The 17,426-nt window shown below is 37.0% G+C and overlaps 1 protein-coding gene across 7 annotated transcripts in view, besides 1 other annotated feature; it reads right to left on the bottom strand.

The window, feature by feature from the left end:
- Nucleotides 1–9,765, bottom strand: part of PYHIN1 (pyrin and HIN domain family member 1) — a 59,319-nt gene extending 49,554 nt beyond the window's left edge. For 4 of the 7 annotated variants that reach the window (XM_011509243.3, NM_152501.5, NM_198929.5 and 1 more), the window contains exons 1-4: nt 9,541–9,765; nt 4,142–4,426; nt 2,775–2,920; nt 2,070–2,237 (exon numbers count right to left, since the gene is read on the bottom strand). In XM_011509243.3, coding sequence (XP_011507545.1) covers nt 2,070–2,237; nt 2,775–2,920; nt 4,142–4,406 — 579 coding nt within the window. In that variant the 5' untranslated portion in view covers nt 4,407–4,426; nt 9,541–9,765. Of the gene's footprint in view, nt 1–201; nt 1,915–2,069; nt 2,238–2,774; nt 2,921–4,141; nt 4,427–9,540 lie in introns of those variants that run through there. The other 3 variants (NM_198928.5, NM_198930.4, NM_001410886.1) reach the window with 2 other exon arrangements.
- Nucleotides 1,821–3,020: an enhancer, noted in NCBI's record as "CDK7 strongly-dependent group 2 enhancer chr1:158908087-158909286 (GRCh37/hg19 assembly coordinates)". NCBI's record gives its function as "activates an origin of replication core promoter dependent on BRD2, BRD4, P300/CBP, MED14 and CDK7 cofactors, with strong dependence on CDK7, by STARR-seq in HCT116 cells {active_cell/tissue: HCT116}" and the evidence as "EXISTENCE:reporter gene assay evidence [ECO:0000049][PMID:35650434]".

Below are 17,426 nucleotides of genomic sequence, written 5' to 3'. Positions count from 1 at the left end.
AAGCAAGGATCAGAGTGGATTGTCTTTAATATCCTTTCTCTATAACATCCAGGTTTCCTTAATTTGCAGCAGAACACATTAATGAAGGGAAAGTTGTTCAATTTCAAGAAAAAGCACTGGAGGAATAGGTAGGTTTGTTTCATTCACAAACCAGCAGCTCCTGGAGTGGTCTGATCTGGAATACCATATACAGTGATCATCTGTGAGTGACTGGACTTTATTTGATCTGACTTTTCATCCATGTGACCCATTCAGCCTAAAACAGAAAAGTCCTTTCCCAACACAAGTTAATCAGTAACCGTAGATCCATCCATGAGAATATTAATAGTAACTGATATGCAACATCACAAGGAGCCACATGAATACAAGACCTGCATGAAGGGGATCATATAACTGCTCAGAGAGACATAATAGGACATTACATTGTATGATGATATTTTCAGAAAAAATATGTGTATACATAGGAGTAAATATGAGAGGGTATATAGAGAAATGTGGCATGTTATGGATGCTGGAATTTCACGTAAAGTTAATTAAGTTTGATCTGGTTTGTCTGCATTTATTCCTTTTTTTCTGAAATAGTCTTACATTAATACAAAATCAAATGTAAGAAAAAAGGGAATAGAGCAAATTAAGGTTGGTGGTGTGGTTTCATCACTTGTTGCCCTTCATAATTGATCCCCTTTATTGTGTATCAGAAATATAGAACATTTTTTTAATAATAAAGCTCATTAGAGTTTCAATTAGTTTTTAGACTATTGCTGATACATGCATATAGTAAGGCTGACCTGTCCAAATTTGAGATGAGTACAGCATTATAAGGATTATCAGAATCATGCAATTATTAATTGTAATTTACTTTCTTTCATTTGTAAGTCTTGGTGTATCGTCTTCTGCCTGCCTACATTTTCCCAAACTCCTGAGCTCTCTTCCCTATTCCATCACTTCCCTTTGTTTTTACAACCTTTTGGCCTCACAATAGGTATCTTTGACTGAGTCAGATGACCTTTATTTGTCATTTGCTTAGCTGTAGTGGTTCATATCTTAGAATATGGTTTCCTTTTTTTTTTTTTTTTTTACTTTTTTATTTTGAGATGGAGTCTCGCTCTGTCACCCAGGCTGGAGTGCAGTGGTGCGATCTCAGCTCACTGCAACCTCCACCTCCCTGGTTCAAGCAATTCCCCTGCCTCAGCCTCCTGAGTAGCTGGGATTATAGGCGTAAGCCACCATACCCAGCTAATTTTTTTGTATTTTTAGTAGAGATAGTGTTTCACCATGTTGGCCAGACTAGTCTCAAACTCCTGACCTCAGGCAATCCACCTGCCTCGGCCTCCCAAAGTGCTGGGATTACAGGCGTGAGCCACTGGGTTTTCATTTTTTCGTTGAGCAAAGGTATTTATTGGAAGCTTCCCATGAGGCAGACACTGAACTAGGCCCTCGTTTACAGTGGTCCACAGAATTACAAACTAGCCCTAATCTTGGAACTACTTTGAGTAGGTGGGAAAGATAAACACTTATTAACTTCAGTTGTCATAAACAGTAGAAAAGAAAGAAGTTCCTAGGAAACAGAACACCATGAAGATTTAACCTGTTACAGGGGTCTAAGTGAGGATTCCCTGAGGATAAGATCTCAATATTGGGATCCAGAGGGTGGATAGGGTTGGCCAGGTAAGAGTTTAAAGGTGAAAGAAATATGGTGTGTGAAAATCCTAAAGGAAAAAGGAGCATGGTGTATGTCAGAGAAACTTGAACAAATTAGTGAGCAAAGGGAATGGGTGTATAATAGATGGGGGCAGTAGACAGTGAGTCTGTTGCTGAAAGTTCCAGATTCCGCAGTTCTCTGTCTCTTCCCCAAACAGCACAGGACAGAAAACTTCCTGCAGTCAGAGATAATGTCAAGTTCATCAAATATGCCTGTGGAAGCAAAAGATTAAAATGCAGTGAATTCTCAGTCTATACATTTGATTTACTGGCTGATGATTGATGTCATTTTTCAGTAGAAGATGAAATCAGATTCCTACATTTTGGGTTGAAGAAAATGAATCAAAAGGGGACCAGGAAGAGTGTACCTCAGTTGAGGAAGTGTTGGGTGGAGCTGATGATGAGGTCTGGGGAGGTGGGGAACGGCCCATGGCTGTGGACGTGCTGGCTCCTGCAGAGCAGGAAGGCCGAGTCTGCTCTTTGGACATCTTACTCCTTTTGGTTCCAGTCTCTTCTTCAGATGGTTTTTTTCTTTTCTACAAGTAGTTTATTTTTCTTGTTAATTACTTTCAGTGTCAAATGAAGCAGAGCACATTTTCATTACAAGGTAATATATTTATTGTATATAAATTGTTTTTCTTGGAAACTTAAGTACATCCCCAGGCCAATTGAAAGAACATGGCATAGATGGTTTCATTTTTAAAAAGGGAGCAGAGAAAGTAACACACATCATTCCTTAATTACTTGTGTTTTGGGATATGCTGACTTGCAGTTAAGAAACTAGGCTTTTGTAAACATAGGCAAACGTTTTTTTATCTGACTCTCAAGTTAACATCCTTCTCTATTGGAGATGAAAATATTATATTTATTTTATGTATATTTACATTATGTTTACTAAAGCGTTTAACTTGTTGCCTTGCAGAAAGATGATCAATTATTATGTAATTTGATAAATCTGAAACTTGATGGGAAACATATGAAGAAATAACTGCCTGCTGGACAGATTGAGTGGAACAGCCACAGCAGAGCTTCCACTGTGAGACTTGAAGCCTGCTCCTCTTCCTGAAGCTTACCTGAGGTCCAAGAGTCTCCTCTGCTCCTTTAGCTGTGAGACGGTTGCTTGGGGTGCATGCAGGTGTAGCAGGATACACTTCTTTCTGTTTCGTCTTTTTAGATGGGATTATTCCTTTGACTGGAATGGATTCAATTTTATTTGCAACTAATGCAGAAAAAAGGAAGATGTATAAACCCAGAGCAGATGATCGGGGACACCCGAAGCAGTTTCAATACTATTTGCTCTTAGCTCCTGCTTGAGGGTTCAGGTGTATTTTAGTCTATCTCTATTGCATTAGCCTAGTCTGGCTTCCAGGAGGCCAGCAGGAGAAACAAAGGCACAAACACTGACTCACACTCCTCAGTGCTTTCATCACTCCTCCCCTGTGCAGTGAGAACATCCTTCCTGTCCTCTGAACTCCATGTGCTCAGTCAAACCCTTTCCCAATCCTATTCTATCATTTCCTTTTAAAATGTAAGGTTCTCATGATGCTGACTGCTTAGTCATATTCTCCAGATAATCTATTTAAATTACAGAAACTAGTGAAAGGAGATGTTAAATAGGTTTGTGAGGTGAGATATGGTGAGTTTTGACTTTTTTTCTTTTTTTTTTTTTTTGAGACGGAGTCTCGCTCTGTCGCCCAGGCGGGAGTGCAGTGGCGCGATCTCGGCTCACTGCCAGCTCCGCCTCTCGGGTTCACGCCATTCTCCTGCCTCAGCCTCCGAGTAGCTGGGACTACAGGTGCCTGCCACCACGCCTGGCTAATTTTTTGTATTTTTTAGTAGAGACGGGTTTCACCTTGTTAGCCAGGATGGTCTCGATCTCCTGACCTCGTGATCCACCCACCTCAGCCTCCCAAAGTGCTGGGATTACAGACGTGAGCAACAGCGCCAGGCTGAGTTTGTTTTAATTATTTTAACTCAATAACATGACAAGAGGGGAGGTCTTCACACTTCCGGGAGCAATGCTTACATTTAAGTATTGTTATCTTTTGTATTATAAAGGATGATGGTGTGTTGAATATTCTCAATAGAATGAACACATTAATTGACTAAATGTACATATCTCAGATATAAACAACAATTTTTATAATTTTATTTTGTCATTATGTAATCTTTCGAATGTACTAGAAGTCTCAGTCTCTCTTCAACTCCCTCTCCTTTTTGTTCTTTTACTGCACCTCAACTCCGATATACGTCAATCCACTTTAGTAATGGAATGCCATAAGTTGTCAACTTGTTGGCATCTGAAGTACCAACATTGCCATGGCCAGTGAGTCACAAATTGGGAAAAGGATGTATCAGCTACGACCAAGGTGGCGTTCTAATCAAGGTTGGGAAGGGTGGGGATCATTGCAGGGAGTGGGTGTTCCCTCTTCCCAATTACCTTTTAACTTTTCTCTTTTAAGAGTTTCAGCAAGGTCTCCCAGTGTTGGTATTTCTTTGAAGAATTCTATTAGTTTGCCCAAACCGGCATCACCTGGGAACTTTTCCTCCATCAAGTCAGCAATCTGAATTTTGTCATACTCTTCTTTCATTTTTGGATTAAGTTTTAAATCGTTACTCAGTAAGGACTTAACAATTCTAAAATGATAATCATTGATGACCTCTAATCCTTTCAGTAGAACAATTTTCTTGTAGTTATTTGCCATCTCTAAAGATATAAGTGAGCCTGCAAGAGAAAAATGGTATATAGTGTTACACATGTATACAGAGAATTTAAAAGAAGATGTATGCCTATGTGAATAAGTGGCCCATAAGAAAGAGTTGTTCATTGTGCCAGTTTTCAAAGGGAATTCTTCCAGTTTTTCTCCATTCAGTATGATATTGGCTGTGGGTTTGTCATAGATAGCTCTTATTATTTTGAGATACGTCCCATCAATACCTAATTTATTGAGAGTTTTTAGCATGAAGGGTTGTTGAATTTTGTCAAAGGCCTTTTCTGCATCTATTGAGATAATAATTTGGTTTTTGTCTTTGGTTCTGTTTATATGCTGGATTACGTTTATTGATTTTTGTATGTTGAACCAGCCTTGCATCCCAGGGATGAAGCCCACTTGATCATGGTGGATAAGCTTTTTGATGTGTTGCTGGATTTGGTTTGCCAGTATTCTATTGAGCATCAATGTTCATCAAGGATATTGGTCTAAAATTCTCTTTTTTTTGTTGTGTCTCTGCCAAGCTTTGGTATCAGGATGATGAAGCTGGAAACCATCATTCTCAGCAAACTATCGCAAGGACAAAAAACCAAACACCGCATGTTCTTACTCATAGGTGGGAATTGAACAATGAGAACACATGGACACAGGACGGGGAACATCGCACACTGGGGACTGTTGTGGGGTGGGGGGAGGGGGGAGGGATAGCATTAGGTGATATACCTAATGCTAAATGATGAGTTAATGGGTGCAGCACACCAACATGGCACATGTATACATATGTAACAAACCTGCACGTTATGCACATGTACCCTAAAACTTAAAGTATAATAATAATAATAATAAAAGAAAGAGTTGTCCATGAATATGTGTGATAAAGAAGGACTTAATGACCAAATGAGTTACTGTAGAAATTGAGTGAAGAACTTTTGCTTTAGGAATGTCCAAGTAATTCATCCCATTGAATGAGGATAGTTGAATTGGGTCCAGGTGTTAGAGGGAGGTCTGTGAACAAGCAATTGTCTCAGTGTTTAGAGTATGGGCTGTGGAGTGTCAAAGTGCTTGGTTGCTCTTCCCATCCTTTACTGGGGCTGGAGCCTATCCCCCAAAACCTGCCTGTTGTTTCTTAAATCTTCCCACACCCACCACTATGACTGGAGTGGCCTAGGTGTAAATGGGCTGCAGCCTCCCACCTTATATGAATAACTTTCTGCCGCAGCACTACAGTTTCATGCTGGGGCGCCGACCCTATTCTCCTTAACTCTTCTCTTGTCAGCTCTCATCAGTATCCTCTTCCTTGGTGTTGGACCCTGCCATATTTGTCCTCTGTGCCCATAAAACTATCACTTTCCTGAACATCTACATTTTCTCTATTGCAGGAACACAGGATTTATTGGCTGGAATATTTCAATAGTTGCTTGATTTTTCTTTTAGGCTTGATTTGTCTAATTCATTTTCATTTCACAGATCCACATTTCTCTCTATAAACCACATTTTTATCCCACTGAAATCTTTCAATATTTGCCCATTTTCTTTTCAATACATTCCTTGCTTCTTGTATTGTTTCAGAAGACTTTGAATAATCTGCATTCTTTTTTTTTTTTTTTTTAACCTCTGGCACTTGTGTGTTCCTTATATCTTACATTTCAGAAGTATAAAACATTTTCATGCTTCATGACTTTGCTAATTCTCTTCTCATTGCCTGGAAAGCCATTCCCACATTCCTCTATCTGACTGCCTCTCCTACAACATTTTAGACTCAACTGAGAGTTTGTCTTCTAGAAATTTTCAGAGTGCCCTTATGGACAGAGTGTTACTCCTCTGGACCTCTTTAGCACCAGTGCACTTTAGCACATGATGACACTCAAAGCATGCTATGGATTCCTGTTTCCTTTTTAAATTAACATAGCGCTTTGGGAGGCTGAGGGAGGCAGTTCATGTGAGGTCAAGGGTTCAAGACCAGCCTGGCCAACATGGTGAAACCCCGTCTCTACTAAAAATACAAAAGTTAGCCAGGCATGGTGGTGGGTGCCTGTAATCCATAATCCAAGCTACTCAGGAGGCTGAGGCAACAGAATTGCTTGAACCCGGGAGGTGCAGTCTGCAGTGAGCAGATATCATGCCACTGCACTCCAGCCTGAGTGACAAGAGCAAAACTCCACCTCGATAAAAATAAATACAAAAACAAATATTTTAATTATAGAAAACATGTATTTGTGTACCTCTTGTGTAATTTAGATATTTAAATTCCTGGGGCTGTTAATTGCTTTCTTCTTGAGAGAACATGAGTGTCCTCAGATTGATAAGCATAGAATGAAGGAAAAAATATATACAAAGACATATAGTGAAACTGAAGAACATAAAAAACAAATAAATACTCCATAAGCCTCCGAGAATGAAGGCTTTAGATCACCTGCAAAGATCCAAAAATTAGATTGAAACTGATTCTCAACAACAAATCTACTTGAAAGAGGAGAATGGAATCATTTTTATATAATGCTGGCCCAAAGTCCCATATAAATTGCTAAACAAAAAGTTTAGAAATGGGAAGTTTTGATTTGTTTTGTGAGTATGACAACACGATTTATTTGCAAAATGAAACCAGATGTGAGCTTACAGAAGGCTATGTATGATTTTTATTTATTCCACTTAAACACAAATATTCATATGTTTTGATGCTGAAATATTAGTGCTTTTGCTTTTGTAGTAATGACACTGATAACACTGGGGTTTCTAGAAAAATGTGCATTAAGTAATCTTTATAAACCTCCAAGTTCTGATTTTCAAAACATACCGAGCCCCCCAGGTACAAAAGAAATGCTCTCATCTTGTCTTGAAGGAAAAAATAATTTTAAAACTAGAATTTCAATCTAAACAAAGTGATATTTAAACATAAGATCCTCAAAAACTATTCTCTGAACCTGAAGGCCTCAGTAGTTTTTCCAGACAAAGATGCACACAGAAACATTTTTGGAAGTACTTTTCAATAGAAAATTAAAAAAAAATTTTAAAAAGCTGCAGGCCAAAAGACAAGTAAGAATGAAAAACGAACTTGATTATGTGTGCCTATGACTTAAAAAGAAAGCCCTGATCAAAGAAAAGAGAAACAGAAAGTATACCAACATGGTGGAGGGAGGGAAGAAAAAGAATATGAGTTTACTAATGTAATTGTCTTAAAGGGTGAGATGGAAATATAAGTTTTAAAAACAGACAAGTAGGAGAATATAGAAGTGTTATAAATTGAAGTGAAGATAGCAGAAGCAGGCCAAAATATGTTAATTATTAGCCTATACATAAAGAGGTTAACTAGTTAAATGACAACTTTTATCAAATTTGATTTAAAATTTCTATATGTATGTTGTCAGTAAAAGATCACTGAAAGATGAAAAAAAATTTAAATTATCATGCAAGGAGAAACTAGAAGAAAGCCAGCTTATCTATGCTAGAATCATTTTTAAAAGATCTTAAGACAAAGAGTATTATCAGATACCACATGGTAAAAGGTTGAATTCCTGGGAAGATACAATAATTTAAATTATAGATTTATCTAATAATAATAAATGTATATTATTTTTCATTATTGTATAGTCCTTCATGATAATATAATGTTATATAATATATTTATCTTCATATACACACATATGTACACGGTGCCACAAATATATATATTTATATGTGTATGTTTATGTTTGGAAACATGTATGCATGATCACATACACACATAATATACATTATACAACTATGCATGTGAGCATATCTATATATTATATATATGAATTTGAGAGGAGTACAAGAAAATACCGTCTTATAATAGGAGGTTCTATATTATATCTTCCAATACTAAATGAACAAGGTAAAAAAACATTTTTACAAATTTGAGCAACATAATTGATAGCAATATTTATCTAACATATATAAATCCTGAAATCAACATTTAAAATCTCATATTCTAGTCAAGTACACTGAGATATTGCACCAGGCTATACAGAAAGTCTTCTAAAAATTCTGAACTTTGACAATATAAATCTATTTCAAATTGACTTCCATGCCTCTCCCCTATACATTGCCACTAGAAAAATAAAACATCATTAACTTTCAGGAGGGCAGGAAGTAATCTTAAAATGAATAAAAAACTGCCTTTCACATCTGGTATAGAATGATGCTAATGTAAAAGTTAAACATACTTATGAAAATATTGACACATTTGAATTATTTGAATTATTTGAATAATTGTGTTTGCAAAATGGATACATTTTCTACTATGTGTTTGCACTTGTAGAATAATATTATTTACAAAATGTTCTCACATATGTTTTTGTGTGAGAACATGTTTTGTAAAATTGAGATACCGTAAAATACAGCTGTATGTCTAGATGTGTTTTTTACTTAATATTATTTCCTGATACTTTGTGCACATCATTATCTTGTCTTATTTTATCTTCTACTTTCATTTTAGGTTCAGAGGGTACATGTGCAGGCTTGTTAAATGAGTAAACTGTGTGTCGCTGAGGCTTGTTGTCTGGTGATCCCATCACCAAGGTAGCGACATAGTACCAGATAGATAGCCTTCCAACCCACATACTGCTCCCACCTTTCCTCTCAAGCAGTCCCCAGCGTCTACCGTTCCCATCTTGTGCCCATATGGATTCAATGTTTAACTTCCACTTATAAGTGAGAACATGCAGTATTTGGTATTCCTGTGTTAGTTCACTTAGGGTAATGTTCTCTAGCCGTATCCATGTTATGCATATACAGCGTGGAATACTATGCATCCATAAAAAAGAATGAAATCATTATCTTGTCTTTTGCCCAGACCCCAATGGCCACCAAGCTTTCTAACCTCAGAGAATATATACTCAGAGAATTTGTTTTAAAATCTGCAATGGTCAAAATGCATATTCCTTCATTCATGCCCCAGTTGTAGAATAAAGGATATCTACTATCTTTGAAGTAAGTAAAGAATTGGAAGTATTAACTGCAGTTTTCACTTTTCTGAATATAGTTGATACCAGCCCTACTGCCCTCACCCCACTGCCCTGAAGAACCAATATCGATTTTTCCCTTGTGATTTTGTGGCTTTCAAGGAAGCATCTAGATCTTTTCTATAAAAAATACCCACAGTACTCACCTTACTGGGAATTTCTTCAACAGTAGTCCAGATCTTGAGATCTTCAGAAATGTAGGAAATGAGGATTGTTTTGAATAGGGAAATCAGTCAGTAAAGCTCTCAGAAACTGAAATACAGGATGTTATAATCTCCTGAAATGCTAAGAAAATGAAGTATTTTCAAAGACAACAAGGGAAAATGGCCCTTCTTAGAGTCACTTGACTAGTGCTGGCTTCCTCATACTCTGCTTTGCCCTGGGGAGAGAGAAGTTGTGAAACAACGTGCAGACTCCTCCCACCCATATTTTTTGCTTTCCATCCTGTTAGAGAAAATGAACAGTTTCTTTCCTGTAGGTATCTTAATCAAAGTAAAATTTGTATCAAAGTTATATTTAAAATTTTTTTTCTTACAAATGTTGATATCTGAATGGAGTTCCAATCTTAGAACTTTCTTAACCAGCAGACTTACATGTGGGACATTAGGGACCTCTATTCCGATGAATGATTGTCAAATATGAGAGAAGCAAGGTGGTTTCTTCTCCCTCCTTTCCTGTGCGGTTGCAGGGGGAGATCTTGGTAGGAGCATCTATTGCTACCAGTACTTTACTGCATCTCCTGCATGGGAGAATGTCTGCTATGAAATAGCAGTTGGTTTAAATACTACCTGAAGCATTCACCCAGTTATTAATAGTTGACAAACCTAGGGCTTTCCAGATCAGAAAGTTATTATGAATATATAAATCCTTTCTCAAATATATATAAAGGAGTTTAACACTAGCTGTCCTCTTGACTATGACTAGGTTATTTTACCTCAATGATTACATTCATGATTCCTCAGGTTTCCTTCATTATTCATGGAAAAACACAAGTGGATAGTGGGCTCACAACATGACAGCATCGAAGCCTTGAAAATCCTGGAAAATGCACTGAACTTCTGGTAGACCGAGAGTCCTGTTAAACCCTTTGCTCAGCAGTATTTTTTCTGTTAAGGGCAGTGGGTGTCCTTCAGAGTACTAAAACCCCAAGATGTCAAATAAACGACACCAACTGGCAGATGATGTTGTGTTAACCCAGCAGCAGATCTGCAAGCAGGATGTGGCCATGAGTGGAAAATGGGGCCCGAAATACAGCTGTAGGGGAGAAAACAAGTTTTTTTTAAATTTCCCTTTTTAGGTTATTAGTTGACACTCTCCTGAAAACAAACGTCAAATTAACAAAAGAAAAACAAGCAGTTTATTAATGTGTGCTCTACTCATCACAAGGGATAGGCCTCAGTTCAAAAGTATTTCTCTCTCCAGGCTGTGGCTTAGAAACCTTGTTTAAATAGTATTTCAATAAAGAGCCATACGTTCTATATAGTGAAAAGCAAAGGAGAAAGCAGTTCCAGTCATTTAAAAGGTGGGAAAACGTGGGAAGGTAGTAAAATCTGTTCCCAGATTCCTCAGGTTCCTGGTGGCGCCTTCTCCGGGCTGAAAAGCAAGTGCTTTCTCCAGTAAATACGGATTTATGTCCTGCCATCAGGCAAATAGTGCCTGAGGCAGCATGTTCCCCTCCATTTTCTGTCTTTAACTTAACAGTCCTAAGTATTTTGAGAAGTATTTTTGGTTTCCTTCACAAATAATACAAATGATCTGAGGCCATCTACAGAACAGAAGAAAGCTGATCGCCTTAGTACAAACTAGGGTCATGGAGAGGATAGTTGATGTCTGGATTTGGAGCCATATGATAATTTTATCAAAGCAAAAGTAAGTTAAGAAAAAGCAAGGAGGATCTGGAAGGATGGCCACAAAAATACCTTCGAGTGTTCATGGTTTTCTTTTATAGGTTTACGTTGCTGTTAATGTAGAGACACTAAGTTGGTCTTAAGATAGTAGGTAGAGAGGGATATTAGGAAGGTCAGGTTACCCCAATTCAAAGGTCAGAGAGTAGAGGAAACTTGGTAGAAATTACCATGTTTCAGGACATTTTTGTTTCCCCTTTTTGGTAATCATTTCATGTAGAGTAATGCCTTTGGTTAGGACTCCAGCATACAACATACAAATTACTGTCACCAATGAAGACAATTCAGAACATTGCTCCATAATCCATACTGTGCAGATAAAATTGTAATAGATGAAGCAAAGAAATGCTTTAAAAATGTGCATTTGTGCTGATTCTGAAGCAGTGGGCAATAATTTGCAATTTGTGCCATCACACAGAAAGCTCACTAATAGAACATACGAGAGCTCCTGATAAGGGGGTAAAAGTCTTGGATGGACCTTCATGACTTTTTATCATCTGAAGTACTAATTCCGATGCTCATTCAAAGTCCTCAGGAAAAGTTCCCACCCGATTAATGTTCTAACCAAGATGTTAGTAAATTACTGCCTGTGGGACAATACTAACACACCATCCACTTTTGTAAGTAAAATTTTATTGAAACACAACTGTGATTACTCACTTATGCATTGTCAATATCTACTTCATGGTGCAATGAAGAGTTGACTAGCAACAGAGTCCATCCGGCTGCAGAGTGTAAAGATTTTGCTGTATGGCTTATTATAGAAAACGTTTGTCAATCTGTACCCAGTCGTCAGTCTAGGAGACGGCAGAAAGCCTCTAAGGAGAAAAGCAAAAATAATTACTTATTTTTATTTTTGCTTTGTTAAATCAAAAGCAATGTTAAATCAAGTTTAGCCTAAAGCTGCCTTCTTACATATTCTAAGTTCAGCCTAAAGGTTTCTCATACAGCGTGAATGATGGCCTAAATGGAAGTGTAAACAGACTGTAGTATATGCTTGTGTCAATCACCAAGTTTTGGCCAATCAAATGTGGCCAACTTGTTCAAACCGCGTTCAAATAAGGCAAACTCCGAGCTATAACCAATCCAGCTCTTTATCTCATGTCCATTTTCTGTATCTCACTTTTCTTTTTCTCTTCATAAATCTTCCACTATGTGGCTGTGCTGGAGTCTCTGAGCCTACTCTGGCTTGGGAGGCTGCCTGAATAACATTCACTGCTCAGTTAAACTCTTTTAAATTTAAGTCAGCTGAAGCTTTTCTCTTACACAATCACACCAAGAAACCACGTTTGGGACTTTTAAAGTCCATTGTAAACCCCTGGATAAAGCCTTGTAATAATTATTGTGATCTCAGAGAGGAAAATGGAAATGGAGAGTGTTAAAACCTTTCTCTAATTATCCCTAAGAGTCAGAACAAAACCCATTTGTTGAGAGCCTCAGTTAGCAAGATTGCTTTATGCATTCATGGCCATCAGCCACCTCAATCAGGTGCCTTCTCCTTTTGTCTCTCAAGTAAATAGATTTCTCTTTCTCAAGGAAGAGGGAAAGGTGATTGAGTTTTAAATGTTGAACCAATCTTATATCCCTGAGATAAAACACTTTTAATGATGCATTATAATTTATCATATTGATAAGTATATTGGTAAGTATAATTTTTCAATATTTTAAAAGTGTTTTTGCATTTATTTTCATGTGAGAGTTGGTTTTTGTTTAGTTTCTGTCATATTGATAAGTATATTGGTAAGTATAATTTTTCAATATTTTAAAAGTGTTTTTGCATTTATTTTCATGTGAGAGTTGGTTTTTGTTTAGTTTCTGTCATATTGATAAGTATATTGGTAAGTATAATTTTTCAATATTTTAAAAGTGTTTTTGCATTTATTTTCATGTGAGAGTTGGTTTTTGTTTAGTTTCTGTGTAATATCTTTAATTTTGGTGTGACAGCAAACTGGCATTTCTAAAACAGATTGTATAGACATGGTAAACTTTTATCCTCAAATGTCTGATGGAATTCATAAAGTGTCTATTCCCAAAACTTTCACTACGGAAAGATTTTTGTTACAACTTCTCTTTCTCTAATAGATATAAAAATATTTAGTTGTTTTATTTCCTTACAAGACAGTTTTGGTAAGTTGTGTTTCACAGGATTTTTTTTGTAATACATTTTTGTTTTACAGGAATTACGTAAGTAAACTTATTTGCATAATATTTTTCATAATTTTTTATTACCATTTTAATATCTGTAGTGCCATCCCTTTACATTCCTGATACTGGCCATTTATATTATCCTCCCTTATTTTTCTTGATTACTCTTGGTAGACTCTCTGAGGAGGATGCTCAGGGAAGTTCAAAGGCAAGAGGAGAGACAAAAAGGACAGTAAAGGATTCTGAAGCCTTTGGCACCGACATTTAGGACAAAAAGTAAATAACGTTTTAACAACTAGCCAGACTAACAAAAAATCTCATACTAAAGGTCTGTTTATTTCAGTTCCTATTACCTGATCATATATGTCTTCCTTTTGACAAAAAAAAAAAAGAAAGAAAGAAAAAGCAAGTTATGCTAAAGACAAGGAAAAACAGAGTCTCAAGAGTCAAAAGAACCATTAGAAGCAGACTCAGATATGATCCTCATGTGGAAATTTGCTGACAGGGAATCTAAAATTACTATGATTAATGTGTTAAGTGCTCTAATGGAAAAAGTAGACTGCATACAAGAACAGATGGGTAACATAAGCAGAGAGAAGAAAACACTAAGAGATAAATCAAACAAAAATGTATGAAGTGAAACAATGGTAACAGAAATTGAAAATAATCAATAGACCAGACATAATCTAGAAAAGAATGTTACCTTGAAGATAGATCAATAGAAATTTCCAAAACTAAATGCAAAGGAAAAAAATATTAAACCCTCCAGCCCACAGAATATCTAATAACTGTGGTGGGATATCTTAAGATGTAGCAAATACATAATCGAAAAGCCAGAAAGAAAGAAAGAAGGAAGCATAAAAAGTACTGAAATGGTCTCTTTGTCTGGTGTGACACCTGAGGTTCTTGGTCACATGGCCACAGAGATCAAGGATGCAGACACACACAAAGTGTGAGGTTTAGAGCTGAATTTTAATAGACAAAAGAAGGAGAATAGCTCTCTGCTACAGAGAGGATTCCTGGAAAAATGGTTGCTGATCTGCTGTGAAATGCAGAGATTTTTATAGATGAGCTAGTGGGGAGACGGTGTCTGATCTATGCAGGGTGTGAAAAACTGGTTAGGACCAGCTGTGCCATCTGCATAGGGCCCAAATCTCTGGCTGCCCCTACCCCCATCTTTTATTATGCAGGTGGGTAGCTACTCCATGTTGCTTATTTCTTTCTTACTGTACACATGCTAACAAAAAAGGAAAGGTGGAACCCCATGGTGAACACGCCTGGTACCAGGTAGCCTTTTCTATTGGTGCAGCTGCCAGCATCCCCCCATGCAGGCTCCCAGCTTCCTTCTCTATGTTTGCAGTTCGATCTTTCAGGCTGCTCTTTATTAGAAAATAAGTGATTTTTGGGCTTCTTTTTGTTAGAAGGGAAGTTCTGCCAAGGACTCTTTTGCCCTCACTATCTGCCTAAGATAATTTCTTTCTATCTCCTGTATCAGTATTTGGAGAAATAATTGCCAAGAAATATTTAAAACCAACCGGAGCCAAAACCTCAGATGCAGGAAGCTCAGATATTATCCACTGTGACAAATGCTGAAAAACAAATCATATCTGGACATTTTATATTTCAACTGCAGAAAAGTCAAAGAAAAATCTTGATCAAAGTCAGGAAAGTAAAATATTGTATTATATATAGAGAAACAATTCCAAGAATCACTGTGGAGTTTTTGTCAGAAACATTGGAGGCAATAAGAGAAAGAAGAATATAAAATGAAATGCTTAAATGTATTGAAAGAAAAAACATGGCAATCTAGAATTCTATATCTGGCAAAATTATTATTCAAAAGTGAAGGAGATCAGATCTACATGAAGAAAAGAAAACCATCAGAGAAGGCATAAATGCAAGTCAATTAAATTTTAAAAATTTTGATTCTGAATTGATTTAAAAGATAACTTTCTTTAAAGTAATAATAGTAATGATGTATTCAGTCATTATAGTATATAAATACAAGAAATGAGCCAGGGAAAAAATGGAGGAATGGGGATTTTCTGTTATATGGTATGTGTTGTATACATAAAGCAATATAGTAATATTTAAAGATAGATTTAAGTTAGTTAAAGCTATATTTTTGAAACTCTAAGCCAAACAATAAAAAACTTTTTAAAAAGTATAATTCATATGTTGAGAAGAAAAGAAAAAAATCATTGCTCAGTTAAAACCATAAAAGGCAGGAAAAGAGGGGCAAAGAAACAAAGAACAAATGTAACAAATAGAACGTAGTTGCAAAACCGTAGATATTAATCTAACTATAACAACTATAGAAGAGCTCTGATTTGTAGCAATTGCCGATTCCTGTGGTATAAATATCACCTCCTCTGCTGCCTTTATAATGCAAAATATTTGACAACCAGCAGAAAAATTCCTTAATACTTAATAATCTGTTTTTTTCTAGTTTGGGAGGCTGAGGCGGGTGGATCACGAGGTCAGGAGTTCGATATCAGCCTGGCCAACATGGTGAAACCCCATCTCTAGTAAAAATACAAAAATTAGCCAGGTGTGGTGACAGGCACCTGTAGTCCCAGCTACTCAGGAGGCTGAGGCAGGAAAATCACTTGAACCTGGGAGGTGGAGGTTGCAGTGAGCTGAGGTTGCACCACTGCATTGCAGCCTGGGCAACAGAGCAAGACTCCATCTCAAAATAATAATAATAATAAAGATCATCATCATCATCATCATCATCATCTGTTTTTTCTAATTTCTAGCTGAGGAATGAGTGTGCTGCCTTCAATTCATCCTCTTATTGCATAAAATCTCCCAATTATGTACCTGTTTTTTTCACAGTGAAACTTCCATTCCTCCCTTTATGAAAAAAGGTAGCTTACTGTTTTACCATTCTGACCTCATTTTCCATACCCTTCTGCATATACCAAAGTTTCAGTTGTGTGGAACTATTTGTGTTATTTCACACTTTTGAGTATCTTGAGAAGCGTGAAAAGTTATTTCACACTTTTGAGAGAGAGAGATCTGGTGCCTTTTCTTTAAAGGAGACCAATCACATCCTGAAGACCTTGATGTCCTAAATACTCAATAGTGTGAAATAGTTCTCAATGCTATTGATACTACTGATACTCAATAGTATCAATAATTTAAATGTCTTTATCTTGCTAAGAACAATGATTCCTACCGCATATTGATTTCTCATGATGCACTAGAAGACTGTAAAATATAATGTATGTGCTTTATGTCACTAGATTTTCAAATCAACCCTATGAGGCAGAGTTTCCCCATTTTAGAGAAGACTATTGTCTTAGTCGACTTGAGTCTCAGAATACTATAGCAAAATAACATAGACTGGGTAGTTTAAATGACAGGCATTTCCCCCAGTTCTGGAGGCTGGGGTTCCAAGATAAAGGTGCCAGCCAACTTAGTTTCTGGTGTGGGCCCTCTTTCTGGCTTGCAGACAGCCATATTCATACTGAGTCATTACTTGGTGGGCGTTGAGGGAGAGAGAGAGTGAGTGAGAGAGAGAGAGTGTGTGTGTGTGTGTGTGTGTGTGTGTGAGAGAGAGAGAGAGAGAGACAGAGACAGACACAGAGAGACAGGGAGAGATCTGATGCCTTTTCTTTAAAAGGGACCAATCACATCATGAAGACCCTGATGTCATAAAAGAATTATCTCCCAAAGGCTTCATATTTTCAAATATCATCACACTGGGGGTTAGGGCTTCATCATATGAATTTGGGTGACACAATTCAGTCTGTAGCAACCATTTAAGCTATTTTCCCAAAATTATGTGACTAGTTAGGGTTGGAGCCAGATTCAAACAAGGTCTATCTTATTCCAGAGCCTTGCCACTTATAATATTAGCACAAGGGCATTGATTGGTTTCTCATGCTTCCTGCTTGGGCTGAACATTTTATGTTAAAACACAGGAATCTGATTTTTCCAAAGCCTAAACTAAATTATTTTATCCTTTGCAAAGCTAA

Source organism: Homo sapiens, chromosome 1, assembly GCF_000001405.40.
Source record: "Homo sapiens chromosome 1, GRCh38.p14 Primary Assembly".
Taxonomy (NCBI): Eukaryota; Metazoa; Chordata; class Mammalia; order Primates; family Hominidae; genus Homo; species Homo sapiens.
Note: the sequence above shows the minus strand (reverse complement) of the source record. Positions and strands in the feature narration are given on the sequence as shown.